This window comes from Homo sapiens, chromosome 12 (assembly GCF_000001405.40).
Source record: "Homo sapiens chromosome 12, GRCh38.p14 Primary Assembly".
NCBI lineage: Eukaryota > Metazoa > Chordata > Mammalia > Primates > Hominidae > Homo > Homo sapiens.
The window spans coordinates 119,151,568-119,170,294 of record NC_000012.12 but is presented as its reverse complement, the minus strand read 5'-3'; the positions used below and the strand labels follow the sequence as shown (position 1 = coordinate 119,170,294).

General features: G+C 47.5%; 1 protein-coding gene across 1 annotated transcript in view, besides 3 other annotated features; it reads right to left on the bottom strand.

Moving 5' to 3' along the window:
- Positions 3,311-3,811: an enhancer, noted in NCBI's record as "H3K4me1 hESC enhancer chr12:119604289-119604789 (GRCh37/hg19 assembly coordinates)". NCBI's record gives its function as "activates a minimal SCP1, AML or CMV promoter by ChIP-STARR-seq in naive H9 embryonic stem cells {active_cell/tissue: H9 hESC(naive)}" and the evidence as "EXISTENCE:reporter gene assay evidence [ECO:0000049][PMID:30033119]".
- The window catches only part of SRRM4 (serine/arginine repetitive matrix 4), a 181,511-nt gene continuing 170,027 nt past the window's right edge, over positions 7,244-18,727 (bottom strand). Inside the window, exons 11-13 of the mRNA NM_194286.4 lie at positions 16,646-16,756; positions 15,912-16,052; positions 7,244-13,800 (exon numbers count right to left, since the gene is read on the bottom strand). Of these exons, the coding sequence (NP_919262.2) occupies positions 13,497-13,800; positions 15,912-16,052; positions 16,646-16,756 (556 nt within the window). The 3' untranslated portion in view covers positions 7,244-13,496. The remainder of the gene's footprint in view (positions 13,801-15,911; positions 16,053-16,645; positions 16,757-18,727) is intronic.
- Positions 15,593-16,123: an enhancer, noted in NCBI's record as "NANOG-H3K27ac-H3K4me1 hESC enhancer chr12:119591977-119592507 (GRCh37/hg19 assembly coordinates)". NCBI's record gives its function as "activates a minimal SCP1, AML or CMV promoter by ChIP-STARR-seq in primed H9 embryonic stem cells {active_cell/tissue: H9 hESC(primed)}" and the evidence as "EXISTENCE:reporter gene assay evidence [ECO:0000049][PMID:30033119]".
- Positions 16,124-16,656: an enhancer, noted in NCBI's record as "NANOG-H3K27ac-H3K4me1 hESC enhancer chr12:119591444-119591976 (GRCh37/hg19 assembly coordinates)". NCBI's record gives its function as "activates a minimal SCP1, AML or CMV promoter by ChIP-STARR-seq in naive H9 embryonic stem cells {active_cell/tissue: H9 hESC(naive)}" and the evidence as "EXISTENCE:reporter gene assay evidence [ECO:0000049][PMID:30033119]".

Below are 18,727 nucleotides of genomic sequence, written 5' to 3'. Positions count from 1 at the left end.
AGTCACACTCTCACATTAGCTGGTTTACTTTTCTTCACAGCACTTGCCATTAACTGATAGTTACATTTTACATCTCTAGTTATTTGTTTCTCTGCTTCCTCCATTAGAACGTAAGCTCCATGTGGGCAGAGGGCAGGGACTTGTGTCTAACTGTTCACGGCTGTATCATTGCCACCTAGAGCAGTACCTGACCCATAGTCAGGATTCAATGAAATGGGTGGTTTGAGGTTGTAACTAGTGCTGTTTGCCAAACATTTCTGGTTTCTCTTCCTCCTCCTGCTTTCTGGGCACCTGTGAGGTAGCAATGCACTTCCTGATACCACCGTGGTTGGATGGGGCCATATAACTAGTTGTGGCCGATGAGTTGTGAGCAGAAGTGATGTCTGTCACTGCCAGTTCAAAGCACCTTGGGAGCCCATGGGAGCATCTTGGCTGTGTCTAGGCAGGACCCTCGGGTGAGTTCTTTTTCTCTCTGCCCTATGATCATCAACATCACAGTCATCAACATCAGTAACAAGTAGACTGACCCTGCTGGCCCACAATGGACACGGGTGAGAAAGAGTTCTTTGCTCTTTCAAGGCATTGAAATTTTGGACTTATTTATTATTGTAGCATAACCTGGCTTATTCTGATGGAGAGTCTTCCTAATTCTGTAATTTTGTGGTTGTTGGTATTGCTTTAAAAGAACTTTCCCAGTGCTAAAATTATATTAAGGGGTAAATCATTCTGCCTCCTCTGTCTAGAGCCTGGCTGGGAAACTGGTACATGTTCCTCTCCGTTTGGAGCATTTATGAAGAATTCCAACATGAGCCCCTTATACAGAGGGTGGCTCTGAGATCTTTGCAAAAGGGAGAGCTGGAAGGTCTGTAATCTTGAGGCCCCTTTCCCAGAAACCTCTGCAGTCAGAGCAGAATCTGGTTTGACCAGTTGGTGACTTTGCTGCCAGACAACTGCTTTGAAAACAGCTTCTTCTAGGTCTGGGAGTGACAGCTCTTAGGAGCGTTCAGCTGAGAGCATTCTCAAGCTTTGTTCTGGGAGCAGGAGGAAGACTGGAGGAGCTGGGGAGGATGTATAGAGATGGAGAAGGAGAGATGAACAAGATATTCCTTCTGGGGACTGTCTTAGCTTCACCTAGAATTTGAGTTGTGAGTAGCTTTAGCTGTGAACAACAGACAGTCAAAATAACAGTGGCTGAAACAAGAGAATAAATTTATTTCTTCCTAACATTGAAGTCCAGAGAGATTCTGTCTGAGGCTAATATGTGTCCCTGCTCCACCATGTCCTTAAGCTGGAGACCGCTTCTATCTTAGTGCTTTATCCATATGGAGTCTATTCCCAAAGCCACCTCATGAATCAGGGAGTCGCATGCATTCCAGCAATCATGTCCACATTCCAGCCAGCAAGAAAAAGGAAGGGATGAAGACGGAAAAAGCACATGACAAATCTCTTTCATAAAAATTTCTGGACACTACCACCAAGAATTCTGTCTATAGCTCAGACATCTTGCAGCTATGGCCACCCCTAGCTGCAAAGGAGGCTGGGAGATGCAGTCTTTATTCTGGGTGGCTATAATCCCAGTTATAAATTGGGGTTTTTTATTACTATGGATGAAGAGGGAATGGCTATTGGAAGGCAACTAGAAACTCCACCACATCTGGAGAGAATGAAGATAGGTTTTGCGGAAGCATCCTGAAGGTTTCATTGAGTTGAATCCCTTGGAAAACTGGTGGAAATATATACCTCCTCTGCACTGAAATGCTGATATTTTAATACAGAAAACTTGGCTTGGAATTTCAAATGATTCACAGACTCTACAAAGCCCAAGCGCAGGAGGGCACGGTTTTCTTTAGATTAAGATACCTTGATCTAGAAATAGGTTTTGAGGTGAGAGAGACTGAAGGGAAGAAACAAATCCTCTCTCTCTCGCTCAGTGTGTGTGTGTGCGTGTGTGTGTGTGTGTGTGTGTATGTGTGTACATCTATTCCAACCCCTTTCCATTTGGCAATATGACTCTATTTGATGTGATTTGTGTTATTTTAGTTTTCAATTTGAGAGTGTATTAAGGGACACGGTGTTATACCTTCAGAAAACATTTGACAAGTTTCCATGGCAAAGGGGGAAAAAAAAAGACCAAAAGAAAAATTTCCATGAGTCATCTGGCTATAGGTTGGCCATAGCTATACAATGGTGGAGTGACAGCGTTCCAAGGGAGTGGTAAACCTGTTTTGTAAACCCACTATGGGTGGAAAGGCCTGAACAGTGCCCCAGTGTCTTCCCACTGATGGATTCATGCTAGAGCAACTTGGGTGGAAGATGTTGATGAAAGATCAGGGTGGGGATCTACATAGGGAGATTGCCAAGTTCTCCGGAGGCTTTAGATCCTTCTGAGAGGAAGAGATCCTTATGGAGGGTGGCAGGTGGGAGTGCCTCTCTTGAGAATCTGGTGTTGTCGGTGATGAAAGGTAGGAAAAGACACTGTTCTATCTTTTGCCAAGGTGACCTGAAATCCTCCCAGAAATTATCATGAGCTTACATAGGCGACTGAGCATCTACCCCCACCCCCCACCCATTTTTTTTTTTTTTTTTGAGATGGAGTTTCGCTCTTGTTGCCCAGGCTGGAGTGCTGTGGCACGATCTCGGCTCACAGCAACCTCCGCCTCCTGGGTTCAAGCGATTCTCCTGCCTCAGCCTCCCAAGTAGCTGGGATTACAGGCATGTGTCCGGCTAATTTTGTATTTTTAGTAGAGACAGGGTTTTTCCATGTTGGTCAGGCTGGTCTCGAACTCCCGATCTCAGGTGATCTGCCTGCCTCAGCCTCCCAAAGTGCTGGGATTACAGGTGTGAGCCACCACGCCCACCCCTCCCTTTTTTTTAAATGATCAGTAACAATGGAACTAACACTCAGTCAGACACTTTGCTAAGTCGTTTCCAGGCATCACCTCTACCAATCTTCACAGCAGTCTTATAAGATTGATTCTTTTACTATTTCCATTGGAAAGATAAGCAACCTGAGGCTCAGAGAGGTTAGGTCACTACACAAAGACACACAGTGAGGAAGTAGCAGAGTTAGGCTCCAATCCAGGTCTGTCTGATTCACAAGTCCTTGCTTTCAGCCACTGCCTTTTAAAAATTGTGCCATTTTCTCATCTAAGGGTATATATCCAGTGCTTCCAACAATGCTGGACAAACAATATGTGCTCATGTCTACCCTACCATACATGCTGTCTTCTCTCATTCCCAGGGTGGGAAGAGAATGTGCATGAGAGATCCTTAGAGTCCCTGTATGGGACATGTCACAACCTTGCCACAGTCCTCCTAGTACCACTCCCCATCCCCGACATAAGCTAAAAATTAACCAGCTCAGGAATGAATGGGTATTGGAAGGGAGCGGGGCTGGCACTCCAGGCAAATTCAATCACTTGACAGCTGGCCACATGCTGCTGGGTGTACAGAGATGAATGAATGAGGTGGACAAGACTCCTGTCCTCATGGAGGTGGGCAGTAAACAAGTAAACAAGTAAGCAAACTGGTTATAGGTGGTAATAAGCCTCATGGAAGGAATACGCTGGGGAGGTGGGGGAAGCAGGTGGGTGTCATTGACTCTGGCCCTGTACACACTCAATTTCCCCTGTCTGAGATGACTCCATTCCCTCCTCTTTCTCTCTTTCTCTTTCTTTCTTTCTTTCTTTCTCTTTCTCTTTCTTTCCTTCTTTCTTTCTTTTCCTTCCTTCCTTCCTTCCTTTCCTTCCTTCTTTCCTTCCTTCTTTTTTCTGATTCTTTTTTTTGACATAGTCTTGCTCTGTCACCCAAGGTGGAGTACATTGGCGCTATCTCGACTCACTGCAATCTCTTCCTTCCAGGTTCAAGCAATTCTCCTGCCTCAGCCTCTGGAGTAGCTGGGATTACAGGTATGCACCACCACACCCAGCTAATTTTGGTATTTTTAGTAGAGATGGGGTTTCACCATGTTGGTCAGGCTAATCCTGAACTCCTGACCTCAAGTGATCCGTCTGCCTCGGCCTCCCAAAGAGGTGGCATTACAGGCATGAGCCACTGTGCCTGCCCCTTTCCCTCCTCTTTTTTAACCCTTCCTTTGCTTGACCAACACCTACTCATCTCCCAGGATCAACCTAGAGGTCAGTTTTTTTTCTGTGATGCCTTCTTTGACCCCACAAGGCTGTTTCACGTGCCTCTTTGGACTCACTTTTACCCTAGCATTCAGCTGTTACCACTTACTATCTGTGTGACCTGGGGAAAACCGTCTGTGCCTCAGTTTCTGCATCTGCAAAATAGGCATCAAAAATTGTATCTATCTACCTTATAAGGATGTCGTGGCAGTGAATATATAATTTATGTTCATATATGTGAAGAACTTAGAAGCATGCTTAGCACATGGCAGGCTCTATATGTGTTGGGTGCTTTTTGTGCTGGTTTTATTGTCCCCTTTATGACATCCAGTAGCACACCTAGGATACCACACCTGGACGGCATTTCAGGTGCCATCTAATTCAGTGACTCTCAATCCTGGCTTCATATCAGAATGCTCTAGGGAGCCTTTTAGAAACATCAATGTCACCCTCAGAGATTCTTATTATTTGGGGTGGGGTGGAACTCCAGCATATGTGGTTTTGTAAAGTTCACAGATGATTTTAATGTCTGGCCAGGATTGTGGACCACTGGTCTAGCGCATTCCCTTTTAACAGGTAGAGTAACTAGGTCCTAGAGAGGGGCTTGATTAACTTAGGGCCATGCAACAAGTCTTGGTCCCTGCCTCTCGGGAGGATTTTTCCCATATTCCTCCCGCCCCTCTGCTTATGCCTTTGCTTTCACCCCATGGAAGGGCTGTGTGTGTCCCCAGGGCTGCCCAGGCGGTGGTGTTGAATGCATGCCACCTCCGCTCCATCGTTGGGCAGCTGTTAATCTGGCCTGAGAGAGAGATATCTCCAGAAGGATGTCTCTCTCCTCTGCAGCCCAGACACCTGGGCTGGGAGAAGTGCCTGTTGAGAGCAATTGCTGGAGAAACAAACACATGGATTCCGGTAACTGGGGGCTGGAGCAGGAGATAGAAAGGTGCAGGCATCCTCCAGTCTCCTGGCAGCCACAATTTATGGGAAGAAGTTACCAGGGGCCCTTAACGATGGCTAGCTCTGAGTTGATAGAGATCCCCCCTCAGGGGGTAAAGAGGTGTAGCAGAAACAGCCCTGGAGCCCACAGACCTAAGTTTAAATACCTACTAGCTATGTGGTCTTCCCTCCATAAGCATCAATTTTGTCCTCTGTCAAATGGGGCTAAATGATGTTGTTATGAGAATGAAATAAGTCTATGTACCCCCCAAAAATTAAAAGTAAAAAAATTAGGTAACCCTCCCCAAAGGAGGTAAGTTAATGCACGCAAAGGGCATGGCAGGTGGTAACTGATCCATAAATGTTTATTATTATTAATTACCATTATTTATTGATGGAACCTCAGAGGAGGACACTGGTTGTTGCTTTATCCAAACCTATTTGGGAAGAAAGAAATCAGTGTGTTGGGGGGACTTGGGGAGGGTGGTATATAGTCATGGATTTACTCAAAGGAGGTTATCCCATCCAATGACTCCTAAGGGAAATTTCTGCTGGGCAGGATACAAGGGGAGCAGTGGCAGTCACCTGTTTTCTTTGATCTTTCTCCCCAGTTGAGAATCAACTCAATTGTGGACTGTGTGTGTGTGTGTGTGTGTGTGTGTGTGTGTGTCTGTGTGTAAGGTTTTGGACCCACATAGTGTTTGAAAAAACAATAAGTTATAAATATTTTAAAATCAGATTTTAAAATGGAAAAATTCAGGCTCTCTTGAAAAATGGGAAGATTTGGCAACTCTGAGCTGAGATTTCTATCTGGCATTGGTCTACTGAGTTCTCCAGTTCCCCACAGTTCTAACCTTATCTGCTTCCCTCACCTGTCAGTCCCTGGGGGTGTTTTCAGTCCCTGCTCTGGAGGGAAAGAAACAATTTAATTCCACACTGAGGACATTTCCACAGGGCCTTGCAGGGCTCCTGCAGATCCAAGTTGGCTACTTTGGGCTATCTACTTAATCTGCACCACCACAGATCAGTCTCAGTTGAGGAAATAGTCATGTTGCTCATTAACAGTCACTGACTACTTTTGGTGCCTCATTGTTTTTTAAAGCCACCATCTCATTTAGTTCTCACAGCATCCCAGGGAGGTGGCTGTTGCTATCCCATTTTACAAATGAGCAAACCAACCAAGCACCAACAAGGTGTATAGTGCTTTCCCAATACCACCTAGCTGGTAATGGCAGGGTCTAGATTTGAATCTAGGTCTTTGGACTCCAAAATCTGTGTCCTTCCTCCCACCCATGAAGAAGATCTCAGAGAAAAAGAGTTCCACCAAAGAACTCTGGTTACTCATTACACATACTGGAGTGCTACAGAGCAAAGAAGTTGACAACCTGGGCTTTGGAGTTAGCCTGCCTGGATGTTATCATCAATTCTGGATTCTGTGGTCCCTGGGCAAGTGACTTTGCTTTCCTTGTTTTCTTTTTATTTTTTTGAGATGGGTTTTCTCTCTGTGGCCCAGGCTGAAGTGCAGTGGCATGAACTCAGCTCATTGCAACCTCTGCCTCCCAGGTTTAAGTGATTCTTGTATCTCAGGTGACTGAGTAGCTGGGACTACAGGTGCCCACCACCATGCCCAGCTAATTTTTGTATTTTTAGTAGGGGTTTAGATGGGGTTTCACCACATTGGCCAGGCTGGTCTCAAACTCCTGACCTCAGGTAATCTGCCCACCTCAGCCTCCCAAAGTGCTGGGATTACAGGCGTGAGCCACTGTGCCTGGGTGACTTTACTTTTCTAAGACTCAGTTTCCTTATTTGTAAGAAGAAGTTCCTAATACCTACTTCATAGGGTTGGTTGTTGCTGAATACTAAGATAACACATATAAAATGCTTCCAAAAAGGTTGCCTAAGGCACTCCATAGCTGCTACTAACACACACACACACACACACACACACACATATATATATATATATATATAACATGTATATATTTGGTATATATGCTGTATATATAACCAAAAACCCAAAATACATACAGGTTTGTTTGGAAGATTAAAGATGTGAGCTGAGTAGTGTGAACATGTATGACACGCAGCAGGTGCTACTTAAGTCTTCTCTAGCTCCTTGTTTCCCTCCCCATTTTTTAATTCTGAGTACCCCATATAAACAGAGAACACTGAGCCATATATGAGAACACCATACCATGGGAACTTTAATTAGAACAGAGACATGTTTCGTACAGGCTGAAAAACCAGAAACCCCGGGAAGGTTATGCTTAGCTTTGGAGACCAGAAATCAAGCTAGCCATGGCTGCTGTGTCACTGGGCAGAGGACAGGGTCCCAGGATGCTGGAGGACACAGCAGCTTCTTTCCATCTGATGTGAATGCTCCAGGCAGAGGCTGTCTGGTCAGGCTGAGCTGGGCTCATGGTGGGTCCTCGGGTTGGGAATTTTCCAGAGGAGATTCGCAGCCTCCAATGCAGAGAAATGGCCTTGGGGTGCACCACGTCCCCTTGGCCAATGTGGTGGATTATGCTAGGTCCTTGGCCAATCATTGCTTGAGGAAATAGCTAAGAATTGGGAGAAAAAAAAATACAGTGCAGAGAGAAGTTCTTATAGCACAGGACCCCGGAGAAAAAGCTACCAAGGGAATGTTGGACATTGAGTCAAGCTGATCTGAGCTCAAGGGAGCTTGGGCATGTCAACTCCCCCTCCTGAGCCTCAGTTTTCTCCTCTGAAAAGTGGCAATATGACCTATGTCACTGGGTTATTTGAATGATTGTACAAAAATATAGCCTGACAATGAACAATGGTTAAATCCAGAGCAGGGCAAGGTAAGCCCATCTTGGTCTCTCCCGTGATGACTTTGGACCACGGGGCTTAGAGAGAAGTTCAAACTAAATACAGAGGGCTTTAACCCAGGATACAAGAGTTATCAAGGTGACAGCAACTTGAGGTCTCCCATATATGACTGTGGGACTCAACGACTATGACCTCATTCTGCAAATGAAGTCCAGGCCCTACTTTTTTGTTTCCTTCCTTGGTTGACACCCTTTAATCTGCAGTCAGCAGAAGACACAAGAGACAATATATCCAACAGTATGGAGTCCATAGCATCAGGGCTTGAGCCCCCATTTCCCACGTCTTGCAGATAATATATAGGACAAGCCCCATTTTACAGATGACAAGACTGAGGCTAGAGACCCATTCCATTTCATTCAGACTGATACACAGGCCAAAGAAACACATAGGAATACCATTGCAGTCTTTTTGGCTTGGCTCGTTAGAAGATGAGGCATAGCTTTCCTTGGCCAGAAAAAAAAAAGAGTTTACAATTTTTCTTTATTTTTTTTTTCAAGGAGTTGTGACTTTTTAATAGAAGTTGGTTCATGTGTAGGCATTTTATTCTTCCATTAATTTCCATCTAAATGAGGTTTTCCTGGAGATAACCAGTGTTTTAGTTCCATTTGAGTCTAATTTGTGTGACTGAAGCCTCCATTTCTGCCAATTTCAATTTGCTTGGTGATTCTAGCACTCCTTACCTGGGCAGTAATGCCCTTGCTGCAGACAGCAGCACCTGGAGCTGGGAGATGGACCAATTCTCAATAGCAATTCAGGGAAAGAGGTGGTCCTTCTCTTTTCCCAATATTACTCAATAAATACGAAATAAATTATTAAATAAGCCATGTTCTGATGGGGGTCCCCCATCATGGTATTTACAATGCAAAACAACAGCCATCAAAAGAACTAAAAAAACACACACAGAAACTTTTACTCCAAAAACAGCAACCACAGATAGAAGAGAGATGACATTTCTGTCAGTATCATTGGCTCACTGGTGCAGAAGTGAGAAGAACGAGACTTCAATAAAGCATTGCTCAATGACATTGAATCTAGCATAAGTTTCTCAGCTGGACTCGGCTGGCCAGTGCGGGAGGAGGCATGTTTGGAGGAATCCTGTTTTTTGACTTCGTTTTACTGAGACAAAATTTTCTGTTCAGCTAAAGGGGAAAGTGGGGCAAGACACATGCGCATGAGACCATTTTGAACATTTGTGAAAAAGAAGAGGGGAAAAGAAAACAGCAGAAGAAAAGATGAAAGTTGGACTGGAGAAGGAAAACAATGTGCTTTCTTTGCCTTTGAGAGCACCCTGAATTTTGGCCTCTCCAAGCAGACCCTTTTGCAAAAGAGGATGGGTCTGAGCAAATGAAGTGATGCGGTTCTCTGAGACTGAGACCTTTGTTCTAACATCTTAATTTTATTCTGCTTCTGAAAGATCAGCTGTCCTTCAAAGAAGGGAAGGAATGCAGATAGGAATATGATCAAACCTCAGTGAACCAGAATGTTACTAATAGGGGGCTTTGAGTTACTTAGCCTTGCCTAATTAACTGAAGGGAGATCAAATCTTGCTTTTCGTTTTTACTTTCATGATGGACAACCTCCTAAAAATGTTTGAGGCTCTTTTCCTTTTCCCTCTGAGTCTCAGTGAAGCTCCCTCTGTCTTTGGTGACACTCTCAGGCCTCAGGCCAACATTTTGAATTTTTATCTCACAAATCCCTCCACTTAACAGAGGTCGAACTTTGCCCTAGGGAAAGGGAGCAATGTATTCAGTTTCTGTCATCCAGTGCACTTCCATAGCGGGAAGGTCAAAGGCTTGGGATGCATGGCGCTTGACCTCAAGCCACATCTCCCTCCCATTTTGGATGTTGGTTTTTGAGATAAATCCTCACGACGAGCAGCATCCTGGTGATCTGTCATATTCCTTGGAAGCAGAAGGTAATGAGGGTGAAATGGGCGTAGGAACAGCGATACTGGGAATGGGAGGTTCTGGTTAATCAGGGTTACCAGTGCCTCAACAAGCACATTGTTTTTGGATAGAAAAAAAGGAAATGTAAAAGAAAGTAGAGAAATACACTGAGAGAGAGAGAGAGAGAGAGAGAGAGAGAGAGACAGAGAGAGAGACAGAGAGAGAGACAGAGAGAGAGAGAGGCAGAGATTTCCCCGAAGCAGGCATTTAAGCAGCCTTCTTGTAAACTTCACCCAGGAAAGGGGCACTCCCTTGCTTTGGGTTAGGGCTGGATAGTCACATTGCCAGGGAAACAACCAGGGATGTTGCAAAAGTCTCACCAAACCCAAAGCTGGACCAGACAAGCTGGCAATTGCAAGGCAGTGGACAGTGACTTTGGAAAGGGCAAGAGCTGTCTCCGGCCAGCAGCCAGAAGACACTGCCAGTTGGTCAGATAAGCAGGACTGATGACCTTTGGATCCTGGGCCCTTCCAGGATGGGTTTGGAAATGACCTTCTTGGTGGGGTCCTGTGGAACATCTGGCTGCTCCTTCCACCTTTTTTTTTTTTTTCCTAATTTCAGAAATAGCTTTGTGCTTTCCCCTGATGAAACAGCAAGAGATCATAGATAAAAGCTTTTGCTTTTGGCTTGGTGGTTCTCAAGCAAGATGGCTGATGCCTCTTCCCAAGGTAGCCTTCAGATCTCAGGGGACAGAGAGAAATTAGGTACTGTGGAGTGGAAGCATGTGTAACATACATGAAACCAACTAGGTGTGCTCAGAGAAGCTAGGGAGTGATCCTGCTATGTGCCTTGGAGTGAGGGTGAGATCAAGGTGCATCTTCCCTCAGTCAGCTCAATTCCTGCCTCCATTCTCATGGTGTGAGCACCTTGTCAACCCCAAGTGCAATTCCAGTACTAAACCAGACATCATTTTCATCCACCATGGCCCTCAAAATACAAGGCAACTACTTCAGCAAGTACTCAACTGAAGCCTCATCACTCTGTTAGGAGATAGCACATCTGTCTCCAATCTGGTGCCTCCCTAAGGGACATTCACAAGGGATTTCGACTTTGTGCAGCCTTGGCCCCATTTGCCAACTTTCGACTCCAACCCCCACCTAAGTTGCAACTCCACTGTGTCAATTCATCACTGTAGCTCATAAGCCTCTGGGCTGTTTACATCTTTTTGATACCCCTGTGAGGTTCCTGGGGGACAGGAGGCTGGGGTACAGGCCTGACCCTCCTGGACGCTGGGTTAAGTGATGAATTTTGGGACTGATGTGCCTCCTTCTGGGCCAACCCCAGGGTGTTCCAGGCTTAGAGCCTTCAGGGAGAAGGCCAATAGCCCACTCACCTTTGGCCTCTCAAATCCCATCCATAAAAAACAGCAGAAAAAAAAAGGAGATGCACAGAAATAATTTAGGAGATCCCCCCAACACACACACACACACACACACACACACACACACACACACACACACACACAAAACCTCTGTATAAATAAATAATTCAATACTGCTAATGGCGAGAAAGAGAGACAGTCATCAAATAAATAAATAGATAAATAAATAAAATAAATAAAAAGGTTTGCTAGGAGCCCCAGGCAAAATGGTCCCCTAGAGTTGTCTTGATGAAGGCAGTCCGAACGTGAGGTTCTGATGCCTCTCACAGCTGTCCTGCTAAGAAGGTTTTTGGTGGCTCTGGGAAGCCTTTGTCTCCATGGAGGGAGACTGAAGTCCAGTCTGGGTTCCTGGGCAGGGACGAGGGTTATTTACAGTGGCTGTACTTGCCCTCCCCGGGGCACCTGCCCCTGTCCCAGGCACCTGCCATCTGGCCTTCTGCAGTGACAGCACTGGCATCCATTAGTCTTTGTGGGCAGGGCTTAGGTCTGGGCCAGAGGCCCGGTATGGGGAGGCTGGGTCGTCCACTGCTGCCCGGGGCCCTCACTCCTGTCTTCTGATGGAGGAAGGGCTGTCGTGGTGGTGGTTGCATGGCAGTCTCTAGCCCCATGGGTTGATAGGATGGGAAAGATTGGGTAGGGAGACGTCACTGCTTCCAAGAAAAAGGACTATTTTCCAAATGTTTTCCCTGGGGTGGGAGGGATAAAGAATGTTTGGCCCTTGCTTCCCCATAACCCAAAATATCCAAAAGCTGGGACCGGTCCTCTCTCCCTCGCTCCCTCCGTGCCCTGTCCTGCTGCTGTTGCCACCACAAACTTGAAACTCACCCACAAGCCTCCGGAAAGCCAGTCAGCTGGTGAGGGGGATGCCCAAGAGTTTATTTTAAGGATCTTATTCCTCACCTCCCCGTTCTTAGCGCCTTCTGTGGATGAAGCAGCTGGTGGTATTTGTGGATCGGAGATCAGCTTACCCTCTCTGCCCAGCCCCAGCCAGGGGGGACTTGGGGTGAGGGCAAAAATAAAGGTGGGTCTTTCCCAAGCTGACAAGAAACCTCAGAAGCCAGCAGGAGCCCAAGACATGGCATATCCAAGCCCCTCTCCCCTGCACTCTGGATTCGGGTCTTTTCCCCCAAACCTGAGCTGCTGTGCCCCATCCTGGCAAAATTCCTGAGAGGCAAGGGGAGTGGCTTAAGCTGAAGGGTGGGTGGGTAGGTGCCAGGCTGCACTGGGTGGCATCCAGGGCGTGGCAGCCTGGGCAGAGGGGAGGGGGCTGGCAGGCGCCAACCGGAGGGTAAGGCCAGACTGGCTGGCGCTGGGGCCTGGCAACTGGCCATGGCACTGGGGAATGTTCAGCAGATGGTCCCGTGGAATTAAGTTGGTGCCAGCTAGTGGGGCTGAGGCATATTTGGGAAGTGGGGCTGGAGACCAACCTGTCCTGACTCTTCCACTATCTCCTTTCTCGTGAGGTTGCAGGGCCCCTGTGAATGGCCAAGAGGTGTTTTGTGTCAGCCATGCAGTGGCCTCTTCACAGCTGGGATCTGCTGGGCTCTGTCCCCTTACCATGCTGAGGTATTGGGAGCAGCAGCTGAACCCTTCCGTTTTTCTATCTATCATCTTAACCAACTCCTATCTCCTGACACCTCCCACCAAGTCAAACGTCCCCATCTGGTATTCAAGGATATCCCTTCTTCTAGGACCCAAATGTCTTCCAGCCTTTGCTTGGGCCTGTTTGAGGAAGTTAAAGGCCTGACCCCGTTATCTTGAACCTGAACTGCCATTGGTCTCCTCTTTCACCCCTCTCAGACATGGGGGTCCATCCACGTGCAGCCATGAAGTTGGACTAGTGGGGCATCCGGGGAGGTGGGGAGAATTACCACGGGCCTCCTGTGAGCAGTGGAGGAGAAGAACTGTCTCCACATTTTCCTGGCCAGGGCTCAATTTTTGAGTCACAGACCCATTGCTTCTCACAAAACCTTGAAGTTTTCTTTTCTTTCTTCTTTTTTTGTGCCACAAGATGATGGTTCTTTCCATATGCCCAGGCCTGAGCTGGGCCCCAGGATGATGCTGGTAGAGGCTCCTAGCAGGCTGATCTAGAGAGTGAAGCCCCCTTACCCTCTTCTCCTCTTCCCCTAGGCAAGCAGGAAGGACAAGGTATAGGAGCCCTCACTATTTGTCACCAAGAAGGCGGGGAGGGCAGGTGGTTGGGGGAGGCTGGCAGCGCGAAGGGGCCCCCACGGGCAGCTGGCTCAGGGGCACTTAGCGCCTCGTGCTGGAGTAGCTGTCTGCTGAGCTGTAGCTCCGGCTCTGGCTCCTGCTCCGGCTCCGGCTCCGGCTCCTGCTCCGGCTCCGGCTGCGGGAGCCCGGACTAGGGCTGCGGGAGCTAGAGCTGCTGCTCGTGCGGGTCCGGCTCCGTCTCCGGCTCCGGCTCCGACTCCGGCTCCGGGAGTAGCTGCGGCTGGCCGAGCGGCTACTGCTGCTGCTGTACCAGGAGGAGGTGCTGCTGAGGCTGCCGGATGAGGAGGGGCTGGGCCGATAGTAGGGGATGGGGCGTTTCCGGGCACTGCAGAGACCAGAGAGAGGAGGGATGAGGGCCGGCCCCTCCGTGCCTCCCCGCAGCGAGCCCCAGTCTTGTCCCAAGGGAAACCAATATCCTCCCTTTCCCCAGTCCCTTAGGAAAAAATACTCCCTTTCCACTTCTCTTGCAGTGCTGAGAACACATCAAAGTAAAAGTCTCAGCTTAGTGCTAGTATGTCTTGAAAAATGATTATCTCACTTTTTTCTTTCCCCCATGAAGCAAGCCTGGAGCTCAGAGCCTTCAGCTTGCAACAGAATCTACATCTAAACTTTAATCATAGTTTTGTTTTCCTATTTTTACTTTTACTAGAACCATCTATTTATGGCAAAAGAGGCTAATTTTCCATTTACTGTACTGTATCGTTTCCTTTAGAAATAAATGTATGAACCTTTGAAAAGAGTCATATCTATTTAAAGAAAATTAAGAATAGTACAGTTGATAAACAGACAAGTCATATGTGGTCAAGATACTGGTGAATGACTAAAGATTGGGAAACACTGAATGGGTTAATCAAGATGAATTATTTGAGATTGACTAAAGAAACTAGACAGCCATTTGGAAATGCCACTCTCTATCTTAGCTTTCCTCTAGGTTGACCCCAAAGATAATAATAATACCAACAACTTCTATTTTGTGCTTATTATCCTGGCCACTTAATAGCTGTGTGACACTGGATCAAGGGAGTGGGTTTAGAAATTATGCTAGGAATTATATTGTATTATATTATATTAATTACATTTTTTCAGACAGGGTCTCGCTCTGTCACCCAGGTTGGAATGCAGTGGTGCGATCTCGGCTCACTGCAACCTCCACCCCACTCCAGGCTCAAATGATCCTCCCACCTCAGCCTCCCAAGTAGATGGGACCACAGGTGCACACCACCATGCCTGGCTAGTGTTTTGTATTTTTGGTAGAGACAGGGTCTTGTCATATTGCCTAGGCAGGTCTCAAACTCCTGAGATCCAGCAATCCGCCTGCCTTGGCCTCCCAAGGGTTTAGGAATTCTTTACAAGCTGAGGCAGGGTGCCCTGTGGGATATTGGAGAAGGGGACCCATCACCCCAGCCTTGCTATCTGGGAAACACATTCTTTTTCCTCCTCCAGGTCATCTCCAGGGAGAATCCCTGATTCCTCAGTCCAGTGTCTGGACTGAGTGGCAGATGCCTGGAAGGCCAGCAGGAAGAGCCCAACCCAATCTTAGGGCAGCATTCAATCATTCTCCCAGCTTTCAAGGCCTGAGAAATTTGCTTGCACTCAGACTTCTCTGCTAGAGCTTTTCTCTTCTGAGGCCTTACCTGTTCCAGGAACGGTATCCACCTATTCTGACCATTCAATCAACAATGGCACATTGTGTACTCTGCATTCAAGTTTACAAAGCACGTTCACATCTTTTTGCCCCTTTTCATTTCATCCTCATGCTTCTGGGAGTTATTTCTTCCAATATCTCATGGGTGAGAAAACTGAGGCTCAGGAAGGTAAGAGCCTTTCCTAGGTCACCTGCAAAGTGGTACATTCAGGATTCCAATCCACATCCAGTGCTCTCCGGCTTATCCACCGTGGCTCCCTCTAGGTCCCTTTGGGAACTAAGCAATCCTGTTTGTCCTTTCCACACTTGGTTCAAGGTATAATTACATATAGGTTTATTTAAGCCTGACAGCTGAGTGTACAGGTCTGAGGGTAGAGGTCTGTCTCCGCTGCTCGGGATCCACCACCAGGCCAAGGTCCTGCTCCATTGCTTTGGCCTCCATTCCCTGGCCTGACGCCACTCTCTCCCCCAGCTCCGCCTCCCCGGCCCCAGCTCCACCTCCCCGGCCCCAGCTCCACCCTCAGGCTTTGGCCACTCCCCCATGCCACACCCGATTCTTCAGGCTGGCCCCGCCCCCTTCTTGCAGGCCCTGCTGGTTGAGCTGGGAGACTCAGTCCCAAGGCTTTGAACAGACACGTAATTTCAATGATGTTGGGGTTGGGGGGACCATAAGCTCGCACAATCCTAAATCCCAGCCCCAAGGAGGCCTAGGGAGAGCCTGAGGCTCGAATGAGTAAGAATGGGAGTGGGAACGAGGATGAAGGTGGGTCCCCCTTGCCCCCTGGCCTCACCTGGTTATCCTCCGGGCCTCCAGGTGGCTCGGGGAGTCTCTCCGGCGCTTTCTCATAGGCGAGTAGGACCGACGTCTCCGACGCGCTCGCTCGCGCTCCCGCTGCTGCGAGTCCTTCTCACTGTATTTGGGATCCCGCTCCCTGAAGGGGCGCGGGGGGTTACTGGGGAGCTGGGGCTGGGCTGGATTTTCTGCGTGAGCGCGTGGGAGAGGGACACTCCCTTTCTTTCCCACCCCACTGGGTCACGGGATGGGGTCTGCACGTTGCCGCAAGGGAGACCGGAGGGAGGATGACGGGGCTGCGGTAAGAGTCTGCGAGGGTTGTTAGTACCGTAGGGGTGGGGGCTGGGCTTGTGCAGGGGTGTCAGCATTTGCAGGTGGGCATCATAGCAGGGCAGGTGCTGCAGGGGTGAGGACGTGAATGTTACGCAGGCCCTGGTGCGTGGGTAAGAACTGGGGGCTCTGAATATGGGGACGGTCTGTAGAGGCTGAGGGCTGGGGATGTGAATTCTGGGGTATGTCTGCGGGACTGTTTGGGCTGGAGACATTAGGAAACAAGGGTATTTGATGCCTCGCTGCCACTCCTGATTGGACAAAGGGAACTGTAAGAATGCTGAGTCAGGGTCAGACCTAAGAGGAAGAAGGCCCGAGAACGGGGAGGCGGGGCCAGAGAGGAGGATCAGAGCAAAGGGGTGGGGCCTAGGACGGGCCTAGTTTGAGGGGCGGGGCCGGTACCTGCTGGGGCTGTAGCGGGAGTAGCTAGGGCTGCGGCGGGACCTAGAGCTTCTGCTGGGCGGGCTCCTCTTGCCAGACTTGGAGGAATAGCTGGGAGAGCGGGAGTAGGACCTGGGGGAGAGGTAACAGCCTCTGAGGAGCCTGCTGAGTGTCCGCCTGGGTTATCCAAGACGGCTTGAGCTTTATTCAGCGGGTCCCTGGGCAGTGACCTTTTTCTTTCTGGAAGCCAGGCAGAGGAACTGGGCCCCGATCAAAGAATGAAAGCCCCTCCCCACCGGTGGTTAATAATAATACCAACAACTTCTATTTTGTGCCTACTATCCTGGCCACTTACTAGCTGTGTGACCTTGGCAGATGATTTCGTTTCCCTGGGCCGTTTTCTTGTCTATAAAATGCAGGTAATAATAGTCCTTACCCTAGACAATTGTAAATTGAATGAGTGAATTCGGGTAAATCACATAGCATATTGGCACCTATGCTAAGTATCAATTAGACAGGACATAGGAAATGTTAGCTATGACTATGACATATTTTATTATGTGCCAGACATTGAACCAGTGCTTTGTGTGTATTATTTAATCCTCAACACATCTTAGGGTTAGGTACTATTATCAATTTCATTTTATAGATGGGGAAACAGAGGCACAGAGAGATGATGCACTTCGCTAAACACAGCTGGTAAGAGATGTGAACCCAGGACTGTTTGCCTCTAAGCCAAATTTAATTCACGTCTGTTTGGTTTCAAAGTGCTCTTGATTTTTGTAGACTATATTGTTGTGCATCTACATGACTAATCCTTATGCTCCTCCTAGTCTTCTTTGCTTTCTGTTAATGCCTCCCACTTTTAGAAAACAGGGGCAGGAATAGCTCTTCCCTTCTCAGTGCCCTCAGCAGTGTCCAGCTATGGTCACTGGAAAAATGTGCTTTTGCCAACTTATGCTTTGGCTATGCATTGAGAGATATAAGAAAGAGTCAAGATGAAACCTGTTTTTGGATACTTTGAAAGGATATTATCAGAATTTCCATTCACTGCACCATATAGAGTCCCTTTTCTGTGGAGCCATCTGAGTCATTTTTCATAGAATTAAAAACCTGAAATAGCTGCTCTTCTGAGCAACTGGTTCAATTCTTATCTTTTTTTTGTTAATAATGTAGTAAATGAGGGAGTAATTTTCCTCTTTGCTTTGTCTGTCAGGGAGCTCAGACGTCATATTTGCAGCTTACCTCCATAGCAACTTTACAGAATGGTAGGACGTACTTTTGGGACTGTCTCCTGACTTAATTTTATATTTCTTTCCTTAATTTTTCTTTTAGCCTGATTTGCTCTTCTATTTATGTCACTCTATCATGTTGAATATTTTCATCAGTTGCCTTGTCTCATTTTTTGGAATGGACCAGTCTTGAGATGACCAGCTAAATAAGCAACTGTTTTTTGATTGTATAGTTGCAAAAGAGGAACAATCAAGCTCCTATTGGGAATTTCTTTTTGCAGAGGAAAGCTGGACTCCCTGAATTTATGGGTTGATTCGTTTGGATAGAATCTTCCGATTTCTGAGATTTCATGTCTCATTCTGCTACATTATTATTCTACATGAGGCAATCAAGCGATTACCAATAGCTATTGAAACTGGGTAGCAGAATGCAAAAATGGCCATAATTTTTCTTCTCCCAGTGTCCACATCCCCTGCAATGTGACTTTGCAGCTCCTTTCACTGAGAGGAATACCCTTGAATCTGTACTGGTCTTGTGACTTGCTATGGCTAATAGAATAGCAGAAGGGATGCTAATTACTTCCAAGCCTAGAAGCCTTGCACAATACTGTGCTCTCTCTTGGAATTCTGCCATCACCATGTGAACAAACCAAGACAGGCCTGCTGGAGGAGGAGAGACCTCATGGAGTAGAGTGATGAGTCAGCTGGGGTCTTTCAAACTCTCCAGCCCCCAGCCAACCCACCAGTCAATCAAAGGCGTATGAGTGAGCCCAATGAGATCAGAAGAACCACCCAGCTGAGCCCAGCCCAATTGCTGATCCACAGGATCAGGAACTAAGTAGCACTTGTTTTAAAGATGCTAAGTTTGGGG